Source organism: Homo sapiens, chromosome 5 (assembly GCF_000001405.40).
Source record: "Homo sapiens chromosome 5, GRCh38.p14 Primary Assembly".
Taxonomy (NCBI): domain Eukaryota; kingdom Metazoa; phylum Chordata; class Mammalia; order Primates; family Hominidae; genus Homo; species Homo sapiens.
This window is the reverse complement of record NC_000005.10, coordinates 113,933,990-113,957,363: the sequence shown is the minus strand read 5'-3', so window position 1 is coordinate 113,957,363 and position 23,374 is coordinate 113,933,990. Positions and strand designations below refer to the sequence as shown.

Below are 23,374 nucleotides of genomic sequence, written 5' to 3'. Positions count from 1 at the left end.
GCAGAATAGAGAACCCAGAAAATAAATCCGTGCATTTATAGTGAACCTATTTTTGACAAAATACCAAGAACATACAATGGGGAAAGGACAGTCTTCAAAAAATGATGCTGGGAAAACTGGATGTCCATTTGTACAAGAACAAAACTACATCCCTATTTCTCACCATATACATATGTGTGATATGTATCTCACCATATACATACATAAAATCAAAATGGATTGAAGACTTAAAACTAGGATCTGAAACTACTAAAAGAAAACTTTGGGGAAACACTTCAAGACATTGGTCTAAGCAAAGATTTTTTGAGAAAAACCTCAAAAACACAGGCAAGCAAAGCAAAAATGAATAAGTGGGATCACATCAAGCTAAAAAATTCTGTATAGCAAAGGAAACAATTGACAAAGTAAAGAAACAACTGACAGAATGGGAGAAAATATTTGCAAACCACTCATCTGACAAAAGATTAATAATTAGAATACAGAAGGAGCCCAAACAACTCAGTAGGAAGAAAACAACACAAATTTAAAATGGGAAAAAGACTTGAATAGACATTTCACAAAAGAAGATATACAAAATGGCCCAGTATGCAAAAATGTTCAACATCACTAATTGTCAGAGAAATGCAAGTCAAAACTATAATAAGATATCATCTCACCCCAATTAAAATGGCTTTTATCCAAAGGACAAGCAATAATAAATGTTAGTGAAGATGTGGAGAAAGGGGAACCCTCATACACAGTTGGTGGGAATATAAATTAGCACAGCCGCTATGGAGATTCCTCAAAAAACTAAAAATAGAACTACCATATGATCCACAATACCACTTCTGGGTATATATCCAAAAGAAAGGAAAATTATATACTGAAGCAGTATCTGCACCCCCGTGTCTATGGCAGCACTACTCACAATAGCCAAGATATGGAATCAACCTAACTGTCCATCCATGGATGAATGAAAAAGAAAATGTGGTACATATACACAATGGAATACTATTCAGCCATAAAAAATACTGAAACCTTGTCATTTGCAACAACTTAGAAAGAACTTGAGGACATTATATTAGGTGAAATAACCTAGGCCCAAAGGCAAATATCTCATGTTCTCACTCTTATGTGAGAGCTTTAAAAATTGAACTCATGGAGATACAGAGCAGAATGATGGTTATCAGAGGTGAAAGGGTAGTCAGGGGATAAAGAAGGGATAGTTAGTGGGTATAAAAATACAATTAGTTAGAATGAGTTAGTACTAGGAGTTGATAGCATAATAGGGTGACTATAGTTACCAACAATTTATTGTATATTTTAAAAGAAGTAAAATAGTGGAATTGAAATACTCCTAACACAAAGAAATAATAAAAGCTTGGGTTGATAGATACCCCAATTACCCTGATTTGATCATTATACACAGTATGCTTGTATCAAAACGTCACATGTACCCCATAGATATGTACAACTATTATGTACTCATAATAATTTAAAATTTTTTAAGTCTCAGCAAAGTAAGGTAAGAAGGGAACACCTTCGCATATATTTTCTCCTATTCTGAAGGTTGTCTGTTCACTCTGTTGATAGTTTCTCTAGTTGTGCAAAGCTCTTAAGTTTAATTAGATCCCCTTTGTCAATTTTTGATTTTGTTGCAATTGCTTTTGTGTCTTTGTCATAAAATCTTTGCCTGTTCCTACGTCCAGAGTGTTATTGCCTAAGTTGTTGATCTAACAAAGGTCCAATATCGAGCATCTATAAGGAAATTAAACAAATTTACAATAAAAGATAAACAACCCCATTAGAAAGTGGGCAAAGGACGTGAAGAGAAACTTTTCAAAAGAAGACTTATATGTGGCCAGCAAACATATGAAGAATAGCTCAGTATCACTGATAATCAGAGAAATGCAAATCAAAACCATAGTGAGATAACATCTCACACTAGCCAGAATGGCTATTATGAAAGAATCAAAAAAAAAAAAAAAAAAAAAAACAGATACTGGTGAGGTTACAGAGAAGAAGGAACACTTTTACACTATTGGTAGGTATGTAAATTAGTTCAAACGTTGTAGAAGACATTGTGACAATTCCTCAAAGACTTAGAGGCAGAAATACCATTTGACCCAGCAATCTCATTATTGGGTATATACCCAAAGGAATATAAATCATCCTATTACAAAGATACATGCATGCATGTGTTCATTGCAGCACTATTCACAATAGCTAAGACATAGAATCAACCTAAATGCTCATCAATGACAGATTGGATAAAGAAAATGTGGTACATATATACCATGAAATACTATACAGCCATAAAAAAGAACAAGATCATGTCTTTTGTGGGAACATGAATGGAACTGGAGGCCATTAACCTTAGCAAACTAACACAGAAGCAGAAAACCAAATACCACATGTTCTCACTTATAAATGAGAGCTAAATAATGAGAAGTCATAGACACAAAAGGGGAACAACAGATACTGGGGCCTACTTGAGGGTGAAGGTTGAGAAGAAGGAGAGGATTAAAAAAATAACTGTTGGGTACTAGGCTTAGTACATGGGTGACAAAATAATCTGTACATCAAAACCCTGTGAAACGAGTTTACCTATATAACAAAATTGCATATGTACCCCTGAACCTAAAATAAAAGTTTTAACAAAAAGTAATAAATAAATGTTTAGCTGGAAAAATATAATAAATTGATAAATGTTGTATCCAAAAAACATGCAATCAAAATTATACTTAATGGATTAGTTCTGGATGCTTCCCTTTAAGATCCAGAACATGGCAAGAAGGATGATAATCATTACTTCAGTCTAGCATAATTGTGGAGACCCTGACCAATTCTACAAAAAATAGAAAGAAGTGAAATGCACTTTTAATTTTTATTAGAAATGGCCAAACTGTATTCCAAAGTGGTTGTATATTTTGCACTCCCGCCAACAATGCATGAGAGTTCTTATTGTTTCACTTCCTCCCGCACTTTGTGTTAGCAGTCTTTTTATCTGTATCCATTCTAACGGGTGTGAAGTGGCACCCCACTGTAGTTTTAATGTGCATTTCCAATATGATTATTAATGTTGGGTACGTTTTCACGAACTTGTTTTCTTTTGTAAAATGTTGAAGTCTCTTGCCCATTTTTAATTAGGTTATTTGCATTTAAAATTTCTAATTTGTAGGAGTTTTTATATTTTAGGAATCTAAATCCTCTGTCGATATGTAGAGAGAACATTTTCTCCCAGTCTGACTCATTTTTTAATTTTCTTCATAGTATTTTTTGATAGAAGACTATAGTTTTAAATCCAATTTACCATTTATTTTATGGTTAGTGCTTTCACGTCTTAGGTAAGAAAAATTTTCCTAAGGGCATGAACATATCTTCCTATTCTTTTCTTCTAGTAGCTTTGTGGTTTTGGTTTCTATGTTTAGGTCTATGATCAGTCTCAAATTATTTTGGGGGAATTGTATAAGATTATTTTCCAGTACCCAATTTCTAATATCTAGTTGATATGTCTCTATTTGTTGAAAAGACAGTTCTTTCCTCATTGAAATATCTTGCAGTATCTTTGTCAAAAAATAATTGTCTATATATGTGTAGGTTGTTCATTCTCATTGTCATATTTCATTTATCCTTTCAAGTATTGATAGCCATTGGGGTAGTTTTCCATTTCAATGGCTACAATGAATAGTGCTAATATGAACACATTCTGATGAACATATGCATGCATTTCCTTTGACACCTAACAGAAAAGATACATCATAAGGAATGCATATAACTTTAGTAGATATTGACAATTTTTAAAAGTATTTGTACCATAGCTTTACCAACTGTTAATCTTTATCATTTTAGCAACACAAGTGAGTGTATATTTAAACATATTCAAGATTTATTTCTGCTTAAGTGTGTCATACATACATCATATTTGATCATTGGTCAAACTCAAAAGAGAAATGTCTATAACATGGTAGATTTTTTACTAAATGGAGCAATGAATGGTGGCCAATGAAGTAATGAACGGATGGTGAATGTGATTGTAGAACACACAAGAATCATATCTTCCGATCTATTAATCAAATCTGAAAGTATTTATCGAGTCTCTGTGAGTGCCCGTACAGAATGGTGCTGATTAATATGCCAGGGCATGTCCCCATCTGTTGTCATCTGCTTCCCAAACCTCCTACACATTTACATGTGTGCACACAATAAGCATTTTGCCCATATTTACACAGTAAACTTTTTAAAATGTAGTAAATACAGTATTTCACAACATACAAAATTTCACATTTTGAATGGAAGACATTTTCCAGAGAATAGGGAGCCTTTGATGTAAGAGAAAGGAAAACAAACAAATAAAAAATCTGTCCTTTGTGATATGGGGCATTAATCATTAATCTTTATCAGCCATAGCTACTCCAGAATAGTGAATACAATTAATCCTTATTCTGCAACGACAAGAAACATCATAGATAAGACCAACATGCAAGGCATTCAGTTGCATGACCGCAGCAAGGACCATTGGGACCTATTTGCTTTTTAAGGTGCCATGCATCCAAGATTTAAATTCTCATTATAAATCTGGTTCTCACAAATCGCAGTCAGTATTTCATAATTCAGAAAATAGATTGTGGTATAAAAGGCAACCCTATGGATTTATCCAATGTATAAATAGATTTTGTTTTTCTTTTCCACTCAATTCTTGTGTCCTTGACCTTTTTCTCTTCTCAGTCTACACTCTCTTTAAGTAACTTCATTTCCTTCAATGGCTTTAGTTAATATCTATATTATCTACAGGAGGATTACGCCTGTAATCCCGGCACTTTGGGAGGCCGAGGCAGGTGGATCACGAGGTCAGGAGATCGAGAGCATCCTGGCTAACATGGTGAAACCCCGTCTCTACTAAAAATGCAAAAAAAATTAGTCAGGTGTGGTGGCAGGCGCCTGTAGTCCCAGCTAGTTGGGAGGCTGAGGCAGGAGAATGGTGAGAACCCGAGAGGCGGAGCTTGCAGTGAGCTGAGGTCGCGCCACTGCACTCCAGCCTAGGCGACAGAGCGAGACTCTGTCTCAAAAAAAAAAAAAAAAATCTCTTAATTACTCATCTCTCCATATCCTCTGTCACATCCACACTCTTGGCACCATCATCTCTTATCTAGAATACTACAATACACACCTGACTGGTCCACCTACTCTTACCAGATCCCTTCTCCACATTTTGGCTAGAGAAATCTCTTTAAGAATGGAACTGATGGCATCTCTCCTCTACTTAAAATCCTTTACTGCATCCTGTTGTTCTTGGAAGCATACTACCTAAACTGAAAGCCCACCTCCACCGCTCAGTAGCCATGTGACTCCGAATAAGTTATTCAACCTTCCTGACCTGTTTTCTTAACTGTAAAATGGGACAGATAATAATATCTATCTCATTAGATTGTTGTGGGAAATAAATAACTTAATAAATATCAAGTGCTCAGAGTGGTGAATCATTTAAAGAAAATATTTTGCAAAGGGTGGGGGTGGATGGGGAGGAAGAAAAGATTCAAGCCAAAATCTTAATCTGGATTGAAAAATCCTGTATGATCTGCTTCCTACCTCTCTGGCTTTGCCTTGCTTCTTCACCTTGCACTATTCTCTTCATTCACAGCCGTGTTGTTTTTTAGCTCCTCAAAAACATCATGCTTTCTATCACTTAACATAGCAGAGTGTTCCCTCTACCTGAAACTCTCTCACCACCCACCAACAATGGCCTAACTCTTATTTAAAATATCTCATCTTCAGTAAAACCTTCCACGCTCACCCCACCCCATCCACACCACACGGGATTTCTCTATCATGTGCTCTGGCTAATGGCATTCATAGAGCTGCCAAAATTTGCTACATTTTATTGTATTGATATAATAAAAGGCTGTCTTCCTGCTGAAGACCTATTAAAAACCCTGAAATCTGTTTTCCTCATAAATAAATACACTAAAATAATACACATCATGTCAAACTACAAAGAGAGGTCTGGATGACAGAAAATATATTCCTCTGTCTCAGCAATTTGAATGGTGACTGAAATTTCTTCATAGGTTTGAGATTCAGGGGGGCTCAGTCTTCTTCTATATACCAAACTGCAACTCGGCAGCATTGCCCAAAACCTGTGTACAAAAGAAGCCAATCAATGTTTGCATTGTTGCTTGGGGCTTGAGGAGGAGTGGAAGGCGAATAACCTGATCAGGGTGGAGGTCTTTCCAGCTGAATATCCCAGGCCCTCATCAATTCCCGATTCTGCCAAAGATCAGGATCTTAGAGCACTGCGTCTCCACAGAGCCCAGATTATCTGTAGCTCCCATATGTTGTAAAACCATATTCCCTCTGCCCCTAAATGATATGAAACTAAATGTTGGTAGAAAATTGCATTAGTACAGCTTTGATCATTCACTGACATCTCTTTCCAGCTAGGTTAGTGGCTGAGTGAGAGAGAAAAGTTTTAAAGCATGAAGAGAGGAACAAACCTGTTAGACTTGATTGGCTATTATCGGTGGAAATTAATCTCAAAATATTCTGTCCCTCAAAAGCTGATTTTTATCATAATGACTTACATGTTTAGCTTTCAAAAATAGATTCCAATTCTTAAAGAACTATGTCCTCTCAAATGGCCAGTTCTATTTACACCTTACTTTATAGCAAATGAATTGGAAAACTAAAAGCAATATTGAATTACAAAGCACTTATTCATGCTACACATTTTAATAAGTTTTTCTTGCCTACAATTCCTCGTTAGTCCCACAGTATTCCTTTTTTAAACAAATGAGAACAGTTCTGTTAAATCGCAGATTTTGTGTGTAATTGGGCCAGGGAAATAAAATTGATAAATTTTTACCTTTTGGAATGGAATTAAAAGCATTGGCAGCTTGACATTACAAAATGAATACCTATCAGGGAATGTGAGCAGCCTCAGCCCAAGTTGAGCTCTGAACATACTGGCATTTGAACCCTGTTATGAAGCCAGGTCACAGCCTGTGGAACAGGACCTAGGCTTTGTTCCAAGACCAGAAGTACAGATTCTCAGAGGAAGCCAAGCTTACATTAGTAAATGCCAGAATGCTTTCCTTCACTATCCAGGAAGGTAAGCCCCGGTTTTGGGTGAGCTTAAACATTTTTTCAGAGGCAGCTCTTCAGTTGAGGCTGGGAGCAGCAGAATGAGGGAGGAAGAAGTAGTGTGTGCTTGCTGTTAACACTCCCTAGGAGTCTGCCTAGAGACCTCTTCTGCTGAGTAGGTTTAAGTCCCCAGAAAGCTCAAGCTTAGTATGTATGCCTTGCTAGGTGAATAATACCTAAAGCCAAAACTTCATGGCTCAACTGAGTACATTCCCAGTGGAATGTAAGCTCCATGAGAGGAGGTACAATGTATATTCAACACTATATTCCCACTGCCTAGAACAGTGTTAAGGATGTAGCAAGCACCCAATATATTCTTATTGGATAATTGTTGGTTTAATCAATACAGAATGTGTGGTATGACACAACAAAGTAGATATTTAGTTTTAATGATCATTTTCCACCAAGAGAAGCTAAAATTACTTCAATAAAATGCAACTATGGTGGTTGTGGAGGTATGCTGTTTTGATCTCCCTTAGAAAAATAATTTGCTTATTTATCTCCAAAGTTTACAGTTCTAAGTATCTTCAGGTTCCACTTCAACTTTTCAGCCAGACCATGTTCTTCCCAAGTAGCACCCAGACAAAGAAAGAACGGGTCTGGCCACTTCTTCAAGTGTGAGACTCCTCTAACAGGCAGTCTTTGCTTTACAGATCATGACTGAATGGTTGAAACCTTATTAGACCTGTCTTGTGGTTTAAAGCTCTCACTGCCCAATCCTGCTTCCACTCCACTTTCCTTTTTAGATGTCATATCTTCATGCAGTCTGAAACCTTTACTATAATTCTCCTGTTTCTCCATTATTATCTTTCACAGTTTATATCTACTAATAAGTCTCTTGTAATCCTAGCTCTGTCTCAACATTTTCTTCCTAAAGGACCCTGCTGAGAGAGAGGAGGCAGAGCCTAGTAGTCTCCCTGAGTTCACATGAAGTTAGGAGTTCAAGGAGACAAGTTGGTTCAAACTTGCAGGGGAGAGTACCAGAGAGGAGAGAGCTGCATAGCCAGATGACTCCAGAAATTTGCAGTCTTTCTTGAGTATTCAGTTAAGCACTGATCAGATAAGCACTGTGTAAGGAACCAACCCAAGTTCAGAAAAGAAAGCACCTAGAAGAATGAGTAGAAATAATCCCTGCAGCTGAAATGGGAACATATACAATTCCCGCTCCTATCAGCCAGAGTGAAAAATCTCTTAATACATGGGTCATTAGGTAGAATAACCCCATAAGGGTTTTGCCTTAGCAGCAGGGTAAAATTTGCCCTAAACTAAATGTGGCTTTTATACTACCTAACAAAGTTTTAATGCAATACCTAAAATGATCAAACTGTTTCCACCTAAACAAACTGCATCACAGAGCAAAGTTCAATGGTATTTATAAGAATATAAGAAGTATCAAACACCTAACAAAGTAAGATTCAGAATGTATGGCATCCACTTAAAAATTATGATGCATGCAAAGAGGCAGGAAAATATAACTTATAATAAGGAGTGAAACAAAGCTGATTTAGAAATTATAGAATGATAACCTTAATAGATAAGAATAATGAAACAGTAATTATATTGCATATGTTTATGAAGCTGGAAGAATGAACAAGACATTAATTTGTTGGCCAGGCACAGTGGCTCACGCCTGTAATCTCAGCACTTTGGGAGGCTGAGGCAGGCAGATCACAAGGTCAGGAGATCGAGATCATCCTGGCTAACATGGTGAAACCCTGTCTGTACTAAAAATACAAAAAATTAGCCAGGCGTGGTGATGGGCGCCTGTAGTCCCAGCTACTCGGGAGGCTGAGGCAGAAGAATGGCGTGAACCTGGGAGGCAGAGGTTACAGTGAGCCGAGGTCGCACCACTGCACTCCAGCCTGGGCGACAGAGGGAGACTCTGCCAGAAAAAAAAAAAAAAAAGACACTAATTTGTTAAAAATGAAAGCAAGAAAAATGATATATCATGCTAACACTCATCAAAATAATAAAGTCTATATTAATATCAGGCAAAATAGGCTTCAAGAAAAAAAATTACCAGGAAAAAAGAGGCTCATTTCGTAATAGCAAAAGGGTTAATACATTAAAAAGGTATAATAATCCTATATATTCATGCACCTATATATTCATGCTGGAAAATGCATGAAGGAAAGTGTATAAAACTACAAAGAGAAACACATTAAACCAAAATTACAGTTACAGGTTTCAACATTCATTTTGCAATAATTGATCTAACGAATAGACAGAAAATTAGTAAAGATATAGAAAGTTTGAGCAACACTATTGGCCAACTAGATCTAACTGACATTTATGGAACACAACACCCAAAACATCAAAATATACTGTCTTTTCAAGTGCACATGGAACAGTTTCAAAAAACAGACTATATTCTGGGCAATAAAACAATCCTCAATATAGTTAAAAGGATTAAAATTATACACAGTAAGTTCTTGAACCACAGTGGAATTAAGTTACAAATCAACAACAGAAAGGTATTTGGGAAATCCCTAAATAATTAGAAATTAACTAACACATTTCTAAATAATCTATGAGTTAAAGATAAAATCAAAAAAGAAGTTATTAGTTGCTTTGAACAAAATGAAAATAACACATTTCAAAAATAATGAATGTCACAAAAGCAGTACTAAAATTTATATCACTAAACATCTATATTAGAAAAAAGAGAATTACCAAATAAATTACCACAGCTTCTACCTTAAGAAATTAGAAAAAGAGGAGAAAATTAAACACAAAATAAGCAGAAGAAAAGAAATAATAAAGATTAGAGTAGAAATCAATGAACAAAAAACAGAAAACAACTGAGAAAATAAATGAAACAAATGGAAGAAAATAGAAATTATCAATATCAGAAATAAGACATGCGACATCACTATGATTTTACTGACATGAAAATAATAAGAATATGTTAATTATTTTATGCCAATGAATTTAACTATTTAAATGAAATGCATACATTTCTTGAAAGACCCAAAATATCAAAGCTCACCCAAAAAGAAATAGATAATTTCAATAGCTCTATATCTTATCAAAGAAGTTGAATTTTTATTTAAAATCTTTTCCACCACACAAAAATCTTCACATTTAGATGGCATCACTGGCAAATTCTATTAAATACTTAACAAAGAAATAGCAATGATTCTACAAATGATTCCAGAATACTAAAGAAAAGGGAATATATTCTTACTCATGCTGTAAAGCAAAAATTATTCTGATACTTAAAGGCATTACAAAACAAGAAAATTATAAACCAATATTGCTCATGAAAGAAAAAACAAAATTTCTTATTAAATTTTAGCAAATTGAATTCACTAGTAAGAAGGATAATATAACATGGTAAGGTGAATTTTGTCCCAGCAATGCAAAGTTGGTTTAACATTTAGAAATAACACATTTCACCAAATTGAGAAGCCAAAGGAGAAAGGCCAAATGATCATCTCATAGAGGCAGATACAGAATGTGACAAAATCTGGCCGGGTGCGGTGGCTCACGCCTGTAATCCCAGCACTTTGGGAGGCCGAGGTGGGCGGATCACGAGGTCAGGAGATCGAGAACATCCTGACTAACACGGTGAAACCCCACCTTTACTAAAAACTACAAAAAATTAGCCGAGCCCACGCTCGGCTGTAGTCCCGCTCAGCGGGCGCCTGTAGTCTCAGCTACTCGGAAGGCTGAGGCGGGAGAATGGCATGAACCCGGGAGGCGGAGCTTGCAGTGAGTCGAGATCGCGCCACTGCATTCTAGCCTGGGCAGCAGAGCGAAAATCTGTCTCAAAAAAAAAAAAAAAAAAAAAAGAATGTGACAAAATCCAATATGCATTTCTGATTAAAAATTTTCAACCAACTAGCAGAGCAGGGAATTTCCTCAACCTGATACATATTTACTTTACCAGTGCATTTTATACTTTCATTTGCTTTTATGTTACTAATTAGCATTCTTTTATTTGAACTTAAACAACAATATTTTGTAAGGCAGGTCTAGTGGTGATGAATTCCCTCAGTTTCTGTTTGTATGGAGAAGTGTTTATCTCTCCTTCATTTCTGATGGACAGCTTTTCCAGGTACAGTATTTTTGGATGGATGTCTTTTTCCTTTCTGCACTTCCTATATACCATCCCACTCTCTTCCGGCCTGCTTTCTGCTGAAAAATCTACTGATAGCCTTGTAGGCATTTCTTATATGACAAGTTGCTTTTTTCTTGCTGCTTTCAAAATGATTTTTCTTTGACTTTTGGTAGTTTGATATAATATGTCTCTGTGTAATCTTTTTGGGTAGATTCTGCTTCAGGACCTTTGAACTTCATGAACCTAGATGCTCATATCTTTCCCAGGATTTGGGAAGTTTTCAGCCATTTTTTTTTTAAATAAGCTTTGTGTCCCTTCCTTCCTTCTTCTTCTAGGATTCTCATATACATATATAATTTTGCTTGATGATTTCCTATGAATCTCATAGGATTTTGTCTTTGTTCATTTTGCATTGCTATAACATAATTCCTGAGACTGGATAATTTATAATGAACAGAAGTTTATTTGGCTCACAGTACTGGAGGCTGGGAAGTCCAAGATTGAGGGGCTACATCTTGTGAGGGCCTTCTTGCTGTGTCATAACATAGTAAAAGGCATCACATGAGCAAGAGAGAGTGAAATACTTAATTTACAGCCTCAATATTTTTTATTATCAGCACTAATCTATTCATGAGGGTGAATCTAATGACCTCATGAAGTAAATACCTCTCCTTAGGTCCCATCTCCCAACATTTTTGTATTAGGGATTAAGTTTCCAACACATGATTTTTGGCGGCTGCAGTAAAACCATAGTAGTTTTCTTCATTCTTTTTAATTCTTTTTTCTTTCTTCTCATCTGACTAGATACTTTCAAATAACCTGTCATCCAGTTCAGAGATTCTTCTGTTTGGTCAAGTCTGCCGTTGAAGATCTACTGAAGTTTGCATTTTATTCATTGTATTCTTTAACTCCAAAATTTTTATTTGGTTCTTCTTTATGACTTCTACTTCTTTGTTGAATTCTTGTCTGGCTCAGTTATTGTTTTCCTAATTTTATTTATTTGTCTGCCCATGTTTCCTTGTAGCTCAGTAAACTAACTTAAAACAACTGTGTTGAAATTTTTTCAGGATATTTGTAGGTCTCCATTTCTTTGGGGTTGGTTACTAAAAACTTGTGTTCCTTTGATAAAGGTGTCATATATCTTTGATTTTTCATGTTCTTTGAATTCTTGCACTACTATCTTCACTTTTGAAGAAACGATCACCTCCAGTCTTTACTGGCTGGCTTTGGGAGTGAAACACCAGTCTGACTGATTAGGAATTCTGGGAATCTCACAGACCTTATCTATGGATGCACCCGCTCCATTTCTTTTATTGCTTCTTAGTTGGGGAAAGGGGAATCTTAGTATTGTATGCCTTCTCTTGATCTTGAAATGCCAGGCTGGGCACTAATGGTCCCCCATTTATTTTCCCCAGAGAAGTCCCTTGAAGTCATTAAGGTTAAGGGCTTTCTCTCAAACTAGCAGAGTTGAGCCAGCTGTCAGCATGTGCCTGTGCATGATCTGCAGAAGTCTGCACACATCATCTGTAGGAATGGATGTAGGGCCCCAGTCACAGTGAGGGCAAGGTGGGGGTGCGGGCACATGGAGTGCTGAGGGAACATGTGAGCTAGTTGAAAGTGTCTACAGATGATGTGTCCTGTGAAGTTAGAGAGCTTGCCTCTTGGTAGTGTTCATGAGGTAGTTACTAGAAACCACGGCTCTTTGTTGAGTTTCTCGCCCCAGTTGCTATGAAAACCCCCATTTTCCCTGCTCCTAGCTGCCTCCAGACTATTTAACCAAGCCAAATTCCTCCATGTTCAGGATGAGGTGAGAAAGATGCCTCTTGGGCAGTGTCCCTCATGGTCATAGAAATCCAGCATTCACTGTGCTTTCACTCTCCTCCATAGAAGAAATTGCAGGCTTGAGGGGTCTCTCTTGGCAATGAGCTGTGCCAGGTTGGGGGAAGTGTGATACAGGTAATGTGAAACTGTTCTTCTAACCTTCTTCAATGCATTTATTCTTGGGTTTTTGCTTCAAAGAGGTGCTGGATTTTCTTCACTGGACTCTCAGACTCACAAAAAGTTACTCTCATCTGTGAGTGGTTTTTACAATCAATGTTTCTATAAGAAGATGAGGGTTGAATACTCTTACTCTGCCATTTTGTTTGTGTCACCCTTCCTGTTAAAATGTTAAGCATATACCTACCAAATGGCCAGATAATTCCACTCCTGGTTATTTACTGAAGAGCAGTAAAGTCAGATGCTTTCACAAACACTTGTACTTAAGTGTTCATATCAGCGTTACTTGTAATACCCCCAAAACTGAAAACAACCTATATCAGCAACTTAATGAACAAATTGTGATATCTTATTACAGTGTAATACTACTCAGCAATAAAAATAACTCAGCAATAATCTATAGTGACAGAAAGCAGATCACTGCCTGCCTGGAGTTGTGGGGTATGAATGGAAACAAGGAAGCAGAAAGAGGCAGAAGGAAGATATTACAAAGAAACAGGAGGAAACTTTGGGTGTGGTGGATATATTTATTATCTTAATTGAGATTATGGTTTCACAGGTGTTTACATAAGTCAAACTTTAACAAATTTTATAATGTAAGTATGTACAGTTATAAATTGTATCTCAATTGTACCTGAAATTTTTTTTAAAAAGGAAGTATGTCGTTGTGAGTATTGATTATCCACACTCATCAGAGAAAGGCATAGTACTTTTTCAAACATAGCTTAACACTAAGCTTATCACTTTCTAACTGAAAATTGATTTGGTGATGTATAGATTAGATTCACTTAGTGTTAGACCCTTGCTGCATAAAAAGTAAAGGGCATTCAATATTGGTTTAAAAACATAATTTTATTCCCAAATTTAAAATGCCCAGAGGTGGGCAGCACAGGGCTCTATAGCAGTTCCACAAAGTTGTCAGGGACCAAGGATTCTATAACTTTTATTCCACCATGTGTTAAGGTAACTTTTTAAGAACCAGCCATCATAAAGTCATTCCAGCTGGGCGCAGTGGCTCACGCCTGTAATCCTAGCACTTTGGAAGGCAGAGGTGGGCGGATCACAAGGTCAGGAGATCAAGACCATCTTGGCTAATGCGGTGAAACCCCATCTCTGCTAAAAATACAAAAATTAGCCGGGCATAGTGATGGGCCCCTGTAGTCCCAGCTACTTGGGAGGCTGAGGCAGGAGAATGGCGTGCACCCAGGAGGCAGAGCTTGCAGTGAGCCGAGATTGCGCCACTGCACTCCAGCCTGGGCGACAGAGCAAGACTCCACCTAAAAAAAAAAAAAAAAAAAAAAAAAAAAAGGCATTCCAGCAGCAGGAAAGAGAAAAGAACATAGATGAGCCTGCTTCTCTCTTTCAGGACATTTCCCAGAAGTCACACGTGATACTTTTACCTACATCTCATTAGCCCAAACTGAGTCATATGGCCTTACCTAGTGCAAGGAGGCTAAGAAATATTGTCTTAACCCTAGGTGGCCATACAGCCAGCTGAAATGCCAGTACTAAGAAAAAGAGGGAGAACAGATATAAAGGGGCAACTAACAGGCTCAGGTTTCCAGGTAAATAACTGAAATAAATAACAGAGTGTGAAATATCCCAGTCCTGAAAAAGGAACATTTTAATTCTAAAAATAAAAGGTAACTTACACATGTGGCTCTTGTCCACTTACTCTTAATCTCCAATATTCATAAGCAACAATGGCAAGCAATTAGCAGGGGACAGGGTGGGAGTGATAAAAGTATTGAATGTTTTTCAGCAGTAACTTCAGTCTAATTTTATCCTATGTGGATGTCCCTCGACTTCAAAGACTGGTATCAAGAGGAAATGAATGGTTCGCTATGCCTTATAACAGACTGCCATAGGATAATTTGGCGGTTCTTGTTAGTGGAAATGATTCGTAAATCACACATTTTCCCCATTGCATCAATCAAGGATACTCATGACATGGGACAAGCCATATTAAATAGAGGTACAGACCAGCCATATATTTTTCTGAAAGGGCGTTTTTGTAAACTTCAATGGGCCCCTTTTGACATCCATCCTTCCCTTCATCTCTGCCAGGGCAGAGTTAATATATCACCACAAAGGCACTAAGCTCCCCCAAAGAATTGTAGTTTTCAGATTTAGGAGGGTGTTTTGGGGTCACTTTTTTTTTCTTTTTTTTTTAAATTATACTTTAAGTTTTAGGGTACACGTGCACAATGTGCAGGTTTGTTACATATATATATGTGCCATGTTGGTGTGATGCACCTATTAACTCATCATTTAACATTAGGTATATCTCCTAATGCTATCCCTCCCCCCTCCCACCACCCCAGAACAGGCCCCGAATAGGAGGGCGTTTTGGCTTGCTTTCGTTACATTGATGGTTCCAACTCTGTTGCTTTCTGGGGAACACAGGGTGGAATGCTGTGAATACACGGATAATGTCATTGCTGCCGCACACAAAAAGCTTAGGGAGACAGACGTGTGAACAATGAACTGAGGTAAGAGTTGGGAGGCAGAGGTACCAGTACAATTCCCATCCTTCTAACCCTTGCCCCTTGGGAAGAGGAACCTCTCTTTCTAGTGATCAGAGATTATGATCACTAGATATGATTATGAAAACTCAATATTCCTAAATTGCCTGAATTTCTAAATTCTCTGGTTAAAAATAGGGAGGAGGAGAAATGAGCATAAGAAGAGACCACAATATACTCAACTGTGGCAACATCTTCCTAAAGTTGTTCACTGTCCTTCAATCCTTCTTACACAATCCATCAGTTCCATCCATTTACTTGTTCATTAATTTGAGGAAGGATTGAGTGCCTATAGAATGCCAACCAGGGCCTCTCAGAAGTTGAGAGATACTTGGATTACTTTCATTTTTTGAGGACTCTGGGGATATTAAAAAATGAAGAATGGGACATCCAGAATGATAAAGTACAAAGATGAGGGGGCTCATTCTCAGCAAGACAGTTTAACTGTTGAAAAATATATATAGTTCAATCTTTTAGAGGTTCTAGAAAATGTCCTAAGGGCATACGGTAAATGCAGAAACATTCATACAAGAAAATCTACTTTATCTCAGTAAGAACAGTGAGTCTGTGACATTTGAGCCAAGACTCACTTCATTTCCACTCACAAGCAGTTCCATGTTCTAAAAGAGCTTCTCCTTGTTTATGTAGCCAAGAAGATGGGGGAAACAGGGGTGGGGACAGAGTTCTTTCCCTCAGCTCCCAGTAGTCTGTGGCCATGATTTTAGCCTGGAAGGAGAAGGCTGCTAGTGTTTTTCTTCACCGTGATCCCCGTGTTGTAGTTTTATTCCAGTCCAACAGGATGGGGTATCTCCTCCCTCATCCAGCCCCAGCTTGTAGGACAGATGCTCTAGTCCAGTCATGACACACAGAGAATGCTGGGCCCCATCACCCACACTCGCATTCATCTGTAAAACAGAGCTTCCATGTGGGGGTGGTGCAAGCTGTGAAGAGCAGGGGCTACCCTCCTTCCCAGTACCCAGTCAAAGAGCAGAGTGTCACTCTGGGAAGGCAGAACTCTGCTCCCAGGGGGAAAGGAATGCCCTAAGAATAAAAACCTCTGCAGCTCTGCCTGACTTGGCTGACTTATTCATAACAAAAAGTGGAAAGCTCCATGCCTAAAGGCACTGTCAGAAGCAATGGAGAACTTGGTGAAGAGCAATTATGGTAGCTCCAGGATACAAACAAAATGGCAGAGTGGCCAGTTTAATGGAGAGAGCTGGATGAAGAGAAAGCCAGGAGAGCACTGCTGGGTGCTAACTCTTGGTGTCAGAAAGGCAGTGCATATGTGCTGGGCTGCTCCTACTCAAGAGGAGTCACGGCAGGTGGGACAGACCGGAAAGACATCCCAAGCCACACATAGACCCACCAACACTGGGTGGAATTCTCTTTGGCATAAGGAGCTTATGCACAACTTCTGACTAAATAGTGATCAAACAATAAGTTACCTTGCCTGGGGCAACTCTTAGGAAGCCAGGCTTAAAAATAACAGCACAGTCATTCTTGGCAGGTCTGGAAGACTGTGTGCATTTCCAAGTTGTGCCCTCTCAAGGCAATCAGAAGGGGAATCTCCAAGCTACTATCTCCAGGCTAGCCACGGGTGCAAAACAAACAAACAAAACCAACATAAATCCCCTGAATTGTATACCAGCAAGACACACACACCAGGAAAGGTTAAAAACTCACCTAGTCAAAGGGACTTACACACAACCTTTGACAAATAAAAGGCTCATGCTGGGCCCTGGGTACAATAAAAGATAAAAATAAATAAAATAAAATAAAATAAAATTAAACTAAATTAAATTAAATTAAATTAAAAGACAAAAGATAAAAACAAGGGGAAAAAAATCTGATCGGGAACATTAGAGGGCAAGCACTGTAGGGGAAATAGACTTCAGCCAAGTCATAAACAAATAAACAAATGACCAAGCAAACAACACCCTTATGGGAAGAGAAAATCAGTATCCAGAGCCACTACAGTGTTACCTAAAATATCCCTTTAGGAAAATCTCTGATGGTTGTGGAAGGGACAGACTGTAAGCAACACAAGACTGGAAGCAAGGTGACCAACTGCTTCTATTTCTAATTTAGGGAAAAAATGTTTATGATCCGAATAAAGGCAAAGTCTGTGGGTGGGGAAAAAGGAACGGATTCTAAAAATTTAAAGGCGATTGTTTTGATCAACAGGATAATGGGAATGGAGAGGTTAGTTAAGAAAGAAAAGGTACTAAGAATGAATCCCAGATATCTGTCAAGTGGATCCACTTGTCTGCTATAATTGCTCTTTACAAATGGGGAGGTAGTTAATGCATTTAGAATATGTTCAGTTCTATACATTTCTGGGGCCTTCCAGTGAAAAATGGAAGTTGTACACAAGCTTCTAAAATCATGGGTTTCAGACTGTATATTTGGTAGTTATGAGGATATAGGTGTTAGTGGAAGATATGTGCCTGGATCACACAAGAAGAATGTTTAGACGAGAAGAAAAAAAGCACATTTCTATCTTAAGCAACTGAAGAAGAACATAGAAGGAGGGGCAAATGTTTGGGCAAAAATGATGAGCTCTGTCCTAATTGAGTATGAAAAAGAATGTGGGAGATTGAGGAGGAGCTACCAGTCTACCAGACAGACTGGTCTGGATGTGGGCACACTGATGATAAACAAGTGAGGAGGCAGATGGGGTCCAGGAAACAGATTGGTGACTTCTATGATCAACCTTGCCTACACAAGAAAAGTCATTCAGGATCTCTGACCCTCCCTTTCCTCATATGACAAAGGAAGGTGCTAAATGAATGATCTTTACATTTCTATTCAGTTGTATAATTCTAATTCTCAAATTTAGTCTGCCATTCCTGACCCTGGTACTGCCAAATTGTGATACAACTCATCTCCTAGCCTTTGTTTATTATAATGTTTCTTGAACCTAAACTATGAAATACCAACCTCTTCCCTGTTTTGTATCATTTACAATATTTTTAGTTCCAAGTACAGAAATCCCAGTTTGAATGGGCCTAAATAGTTAAGTAAATTTATCTACTTATTTAACCAAAAGATGTTAAAGTATTTCAAGTTTCATATGTGTATTAGATGAGTACTAAGGTTCATTTTTCTGCCTTTCTTTCTACTGTCTATCAGCTTTGTCCTTAGGCTTGCTTCCCAGTTAGGTGTAGCATCTATATCTTCCTGCTTTACAGCAGTACATTAGAGTAACTAGCATCTAAAGGTAATGCAGGATAAATGTCCTGAAATTCCAAAAAATGTCTGAGATTTATGCAAATTCAACTGATATCTGTGGTCCAGCAAAATGATTTTAGTCTGGGTTACCTGAATTAATTAAAAAGGGAACAGGGTTACACTAAGTTGGCCCAATAAGAGCATATTGAGAGATCAAGGATAGGATCAATCCCCTTCAAACTCCACTGTTATCACCCGAATAGAAGGTGTATGGGATGAATATAGAGGAGACAATCACAGCATCTCCTAAGTAGAAACAGAAATCTCCAGTTATCAAAATCTTATGTGTGCTTCAATCTTTCAGATGCCACCTCCTTTCATGGAGTCCTTTCTCATTCACAAAGATGTAATGTTTCCCACCTGTGTTCCATATTCTTCATGCTGCAACTATCTTTAGAATCTAATTTGTCTTCTAGACTAAGCTTCTTCAGGACAAAAAAAATATGTCCTATTTACCTCTGAATTTTTCATTTCTCCAGCACAGTCTAGCTTTAGCGTGGCTTAAAAATGTTTATTGAACTAAATATAGGTAATACATTTTGGATAGTTGAGGAATGCAGCCTCTTTTTTCTTCTGACAGTTCTTAGGAGATAGAAATCACTCCTAGCTTGTATAGAGAAATATCAGAACTACAAAAAGAATAAAGTAGATCTTTGAGCAATACTTCTCAACATTTAAAATATTTTAACAACCATTAGTTCTCCCCACCTTTTATGACTCCTTAAGGTAGTGAGTAACAAAATTTTGAATTTCAAACACTTTAATATGAGTACTTACTTTTTCCTTCCCTATTGGGAGCACTGAACCCAGGGAAAGAGAGCCTGAAACATAAGTGCTCTGTCATTTCTGCCTCCAAGAAAGGGGGAAAGGGAATAGGTTTTCGGTTACTAATGATCTCAGCTCTAGTTTTAATGGAGCATGAAGGTCTACTCTAAAGAAAAGATAAAAGGTTTTCAGAGACAAAATAAAGAAGACTTTGGGGGAGGGTATTAGTGTGAGCGGAAGGAAGGGAGAATCCTGGGAAGACAGGGAAATAAGGCCAAGCAAAGGTGTTGTCAGACCTGTGATGGTTAATTTTAGGTGTCAACTTGACTGCATAGAGGCATGCTTAGATGGCTGGTGAAGTATTGTTTCTTTGTGTGTCTGTGAGGGTGTTTTTAGAGGAGACTGGTGTGTGAGTCAGTGAACTGAGTGAGGAAGATCCACCTTCAATGTGGGTGAACACCATTCAATGAGCTGGGGGCCCCAATAGAACAAAAAGGCAGAAAAGCAAATTCCCTCTCTTTCTCTTTCTCTGTCTATAGCTCTCTCTTCTTTCTTCTGGAGTGAGATGCCCTTCTCTTGTCCTTGGACATAAAACCTCCATGTTCTTCATCAGCCTTTGGACTTCAGGATTTGTACTAGTGGCCTCCCAGGGCTCTTGGCCTTCAGCCTTAAACTGAGAGTTACACCATGGAGTTCATGGAGTTCGTTGGTTCTCCAGACTTCTGACTTGGGCTGAGCTATGCTATTGGCTTCTCTGGTTCTTAAGCTTGCAGATAGCCTGTCGTGGCACTTAGAATTCAGACTCCCTTATCGCGTGAGCCAATTCTTTTAATAAATCCTCTCTCATTCATACATATATGTAATCCCCCCTCATTCAAATTATATATATAAATTCCCTTCTCATTCATATATATATATATATATATATATATGTAATCCCCTCTCATTCACATATATAAATGTGTATATGTATATATGTGTGTGTGTGTATATATATAATCTAACTGACAGAATCAATATACATCATATACACACACACACACACACACACACACGCATCCAATTGATTCTGTCTTTCTGGAGAACCCTGATGAATACAAGGTCTTATATCTGTACCAACTCCTCCCTGCCTGGTATTGAGCACAACAGTGGGCACTGTCTAGGAAGTGCTGGTGAGCAGCACCAAAAGCCATGTCCCATCCAATCCTGAGCACTCAACCACAAAGCCTTCACACAAGCACCTTCTTAGAACCACCCACAGGCCTCAAGACAATTGGTTGTCCACTGTGCACTTGTGCCCATCTGCACTAGTGCATCAGCAACTTACCACTCAGAGGGAGCAATGTCTCACCCACCCACAAGTCCTAGATCCGTTCTTCATCTATTAAATATCATGGCACATCCTTAAAATGCCCTCAAACAGCTATGAGACCAAAGAGAACATCCAAGAACAACCAATATCTGCTCTTCAGAGACTGAAGAAAACAAGTTGAAGACCCATCTGAAACTGGAGTTAGTTATCACTAACATAACACTAATTTTAAAACACCAAACTGAATATTATCATATTTGTTTTCAGAATTTTTGAGAGACACATACTCTGAAAAAACTGGAGATCATCTGAAGTAGTGTAAAACTAGAAATTGTGGGTTAGCCAACATCAGCCCAGAGATCGTCCTGTAAATATAAAGCCATAATTTAGGATTATACTTTAAGATCAATAGAAACTAGGTATGTCAAAGTAACTTACCTAAATATTTAGGAAAATTTGAAATGGTATTCTCTTGAGATCTTGTTGTGAGCTGCACAAGGTCAGACATAAACTAGATCCGTGCACGTTTGTGTCCTTCCACAAGGTCAGACTTTTACTTATGCTATTTCAATCATAATAGCCAAAAGCTACATGGAGTTCCCAAGACGGCAATTCTCCTTTGTACTATCTATTCAATTTGCAGTCAGAGCTGTGGGTACACAGGCTGAAGCCACTCCACAGGTCAGTCAATACCGCAAACCATATATAGTAGTTTACCTAAGCAACATATAAATATTTAGCTTAAACATTCCATATCAAAGTAACATTTAACATCAAGAGGAAACGGGCTAACAAACCAGTCCGAGGAGGGTGATGTGGACAAGGAGAGAGTCTCGGGCTAAGCTGGAAGGTCATCAGCATCTTGCAAGGAAGTGTCCTTGATTTGGACAGAGCCTTTGGCAGCAGATGCCAGGTGCTAATCATGAGGGACAGTAAGATGGTCTCTATGGAGATGGCCACGTCCACCTGGTGAAGACCTGTTCACTTTATGGCCCTTGAATCCTCTGATAAGGAGAGATAGTAAGGGGCTACACTCTTACCTGGTTACGTATTTTCTCTATTGATTAGGTGAACATCTGGACTCTGCTGGCTTGATGCCTTTGAAATGTAAGATGGAGTCTTTTCCTAAGACAGAGTCACTTATGTCAGGGGTGCTCTATACAGATCTATCTCTTCTTCATTTAAAGACCAAGTGATAGCAATGACCAGCCTAAATATAAAGACACAGTGATGACAGGGAATCAGAGAATATCAGAGCAGGGCAGCTCCTCAAAGACTTGGCTCTTCAGCCTCCCAAATCTGTTCAACTATTTGGTGGCAGCATGAGAGCAGAACCCAGCTGTGCTGAGTCCTGGCCCTGTGAGCATTCCCCCACATTGACTATCTTCCCTCAGGGTAAAAATTTGTCTTCTGCTCCCCTTCCACTGTCCATCTCCTATTATGGGTCCTTACCCACTATAAACTCATTCCCCACTGTAAACTCCAAAGAAGCTCAGAAACTAATTGCACTATAGGGTAAATTAGCCATTTAAAAGTGGCACAGCTCCCCAGGTTATCGGCATTATAAAAGTCAAGGCTTTGAGGCAATAATCTATCTCTCAGGGTGGATTTTAGGATTTATGGCTCTAGGTTCAGGAATATTTTGTCTTTTTGGCTTGTGTTTCTTTCTAAATCCCCCAAATCACAAAGAGACAACTTAACCATTCAATCTAAACCTGGGACCCAAAGGCTGACTTCTTTCCCAGGGATGAGAGATTTTCACTAACATACCCTTTGTAATCTTTCTACCACTCAGGGTCCAAAGGAGGTAATGCTTCTACTTTTGAGAGATAAGTTAGCTACCAGACGAACTAGGGGTACAATGAGGAACTTTGAGATGTATGAAACTGACTGGCCTTTGGAGTTTCAGCCAATAAAATGCAGTTTTAAACTGTTGAAAAATTATCATATTCTTTTATTTTAATCAGTCCTCAAATGAAATCTTTTGCCAAACTTCTGAAAAGTAAGAAAGTTAACAAATACTGAATCTATTTCTTTTTCCTAATCTTTCTTCTGCCATACAAGTGCTAATAAGCAACAAAATAAGCCCCCCAAAGAAGAAGAATTACAATAGCTTGTTTCCTCCACTGATTACATCCTATAGCCAAGCATTGATTTAGGTCCTTGACTTGTAGTACCTCAGGTAATCCTCATGAAAACTCTCTAAGTTATATGCTATTATTATCCCCAAGTTAAGCGACTTAAGGTTTTATAGTTAGTGAGCGGGAAGAGCTGTAAACTGGGGTGCACAGCACCCTTACAAACTACACTACTGCTCCTTATCAGAGAAAGTCCAAAGCCTTCTGATACCACATAGGAAAA

The 23,374-nt window shown here is 38.1% G+C and overlaps 1 long non-coding RNA gene across 1 annotated transcript in view, besides 1 other annotated feature; it reads right to left on the bottom strand.

The window, feature by feature from the left end:
- The window catches only part of LOC124901047 (uncharacterized), a 192,316-nt gene that overhangs the window by 41,035 nt on the left and 127,907 nt on the right, over positions 1 to 23,374 (bottom strand). The window lies entirely within an intron of this gene.
- Positions 22,220 to 22,452: a silencer, noted in NCBI's record as "fragment chr5:113270609-113270841 (GRCh37/hg19 assembly coordinates)". NCBI's record gives its function as "represses an EF-1alpha promoter that drives an FKBP-Casp9 reporter gene in an ReSE screen in K562 erythroleukemia cells {active_cell/tissue: K562}" and the evidence as "EXISTENCE:reporter gene assay evidence [ECO:0000049][PMID:32094911]".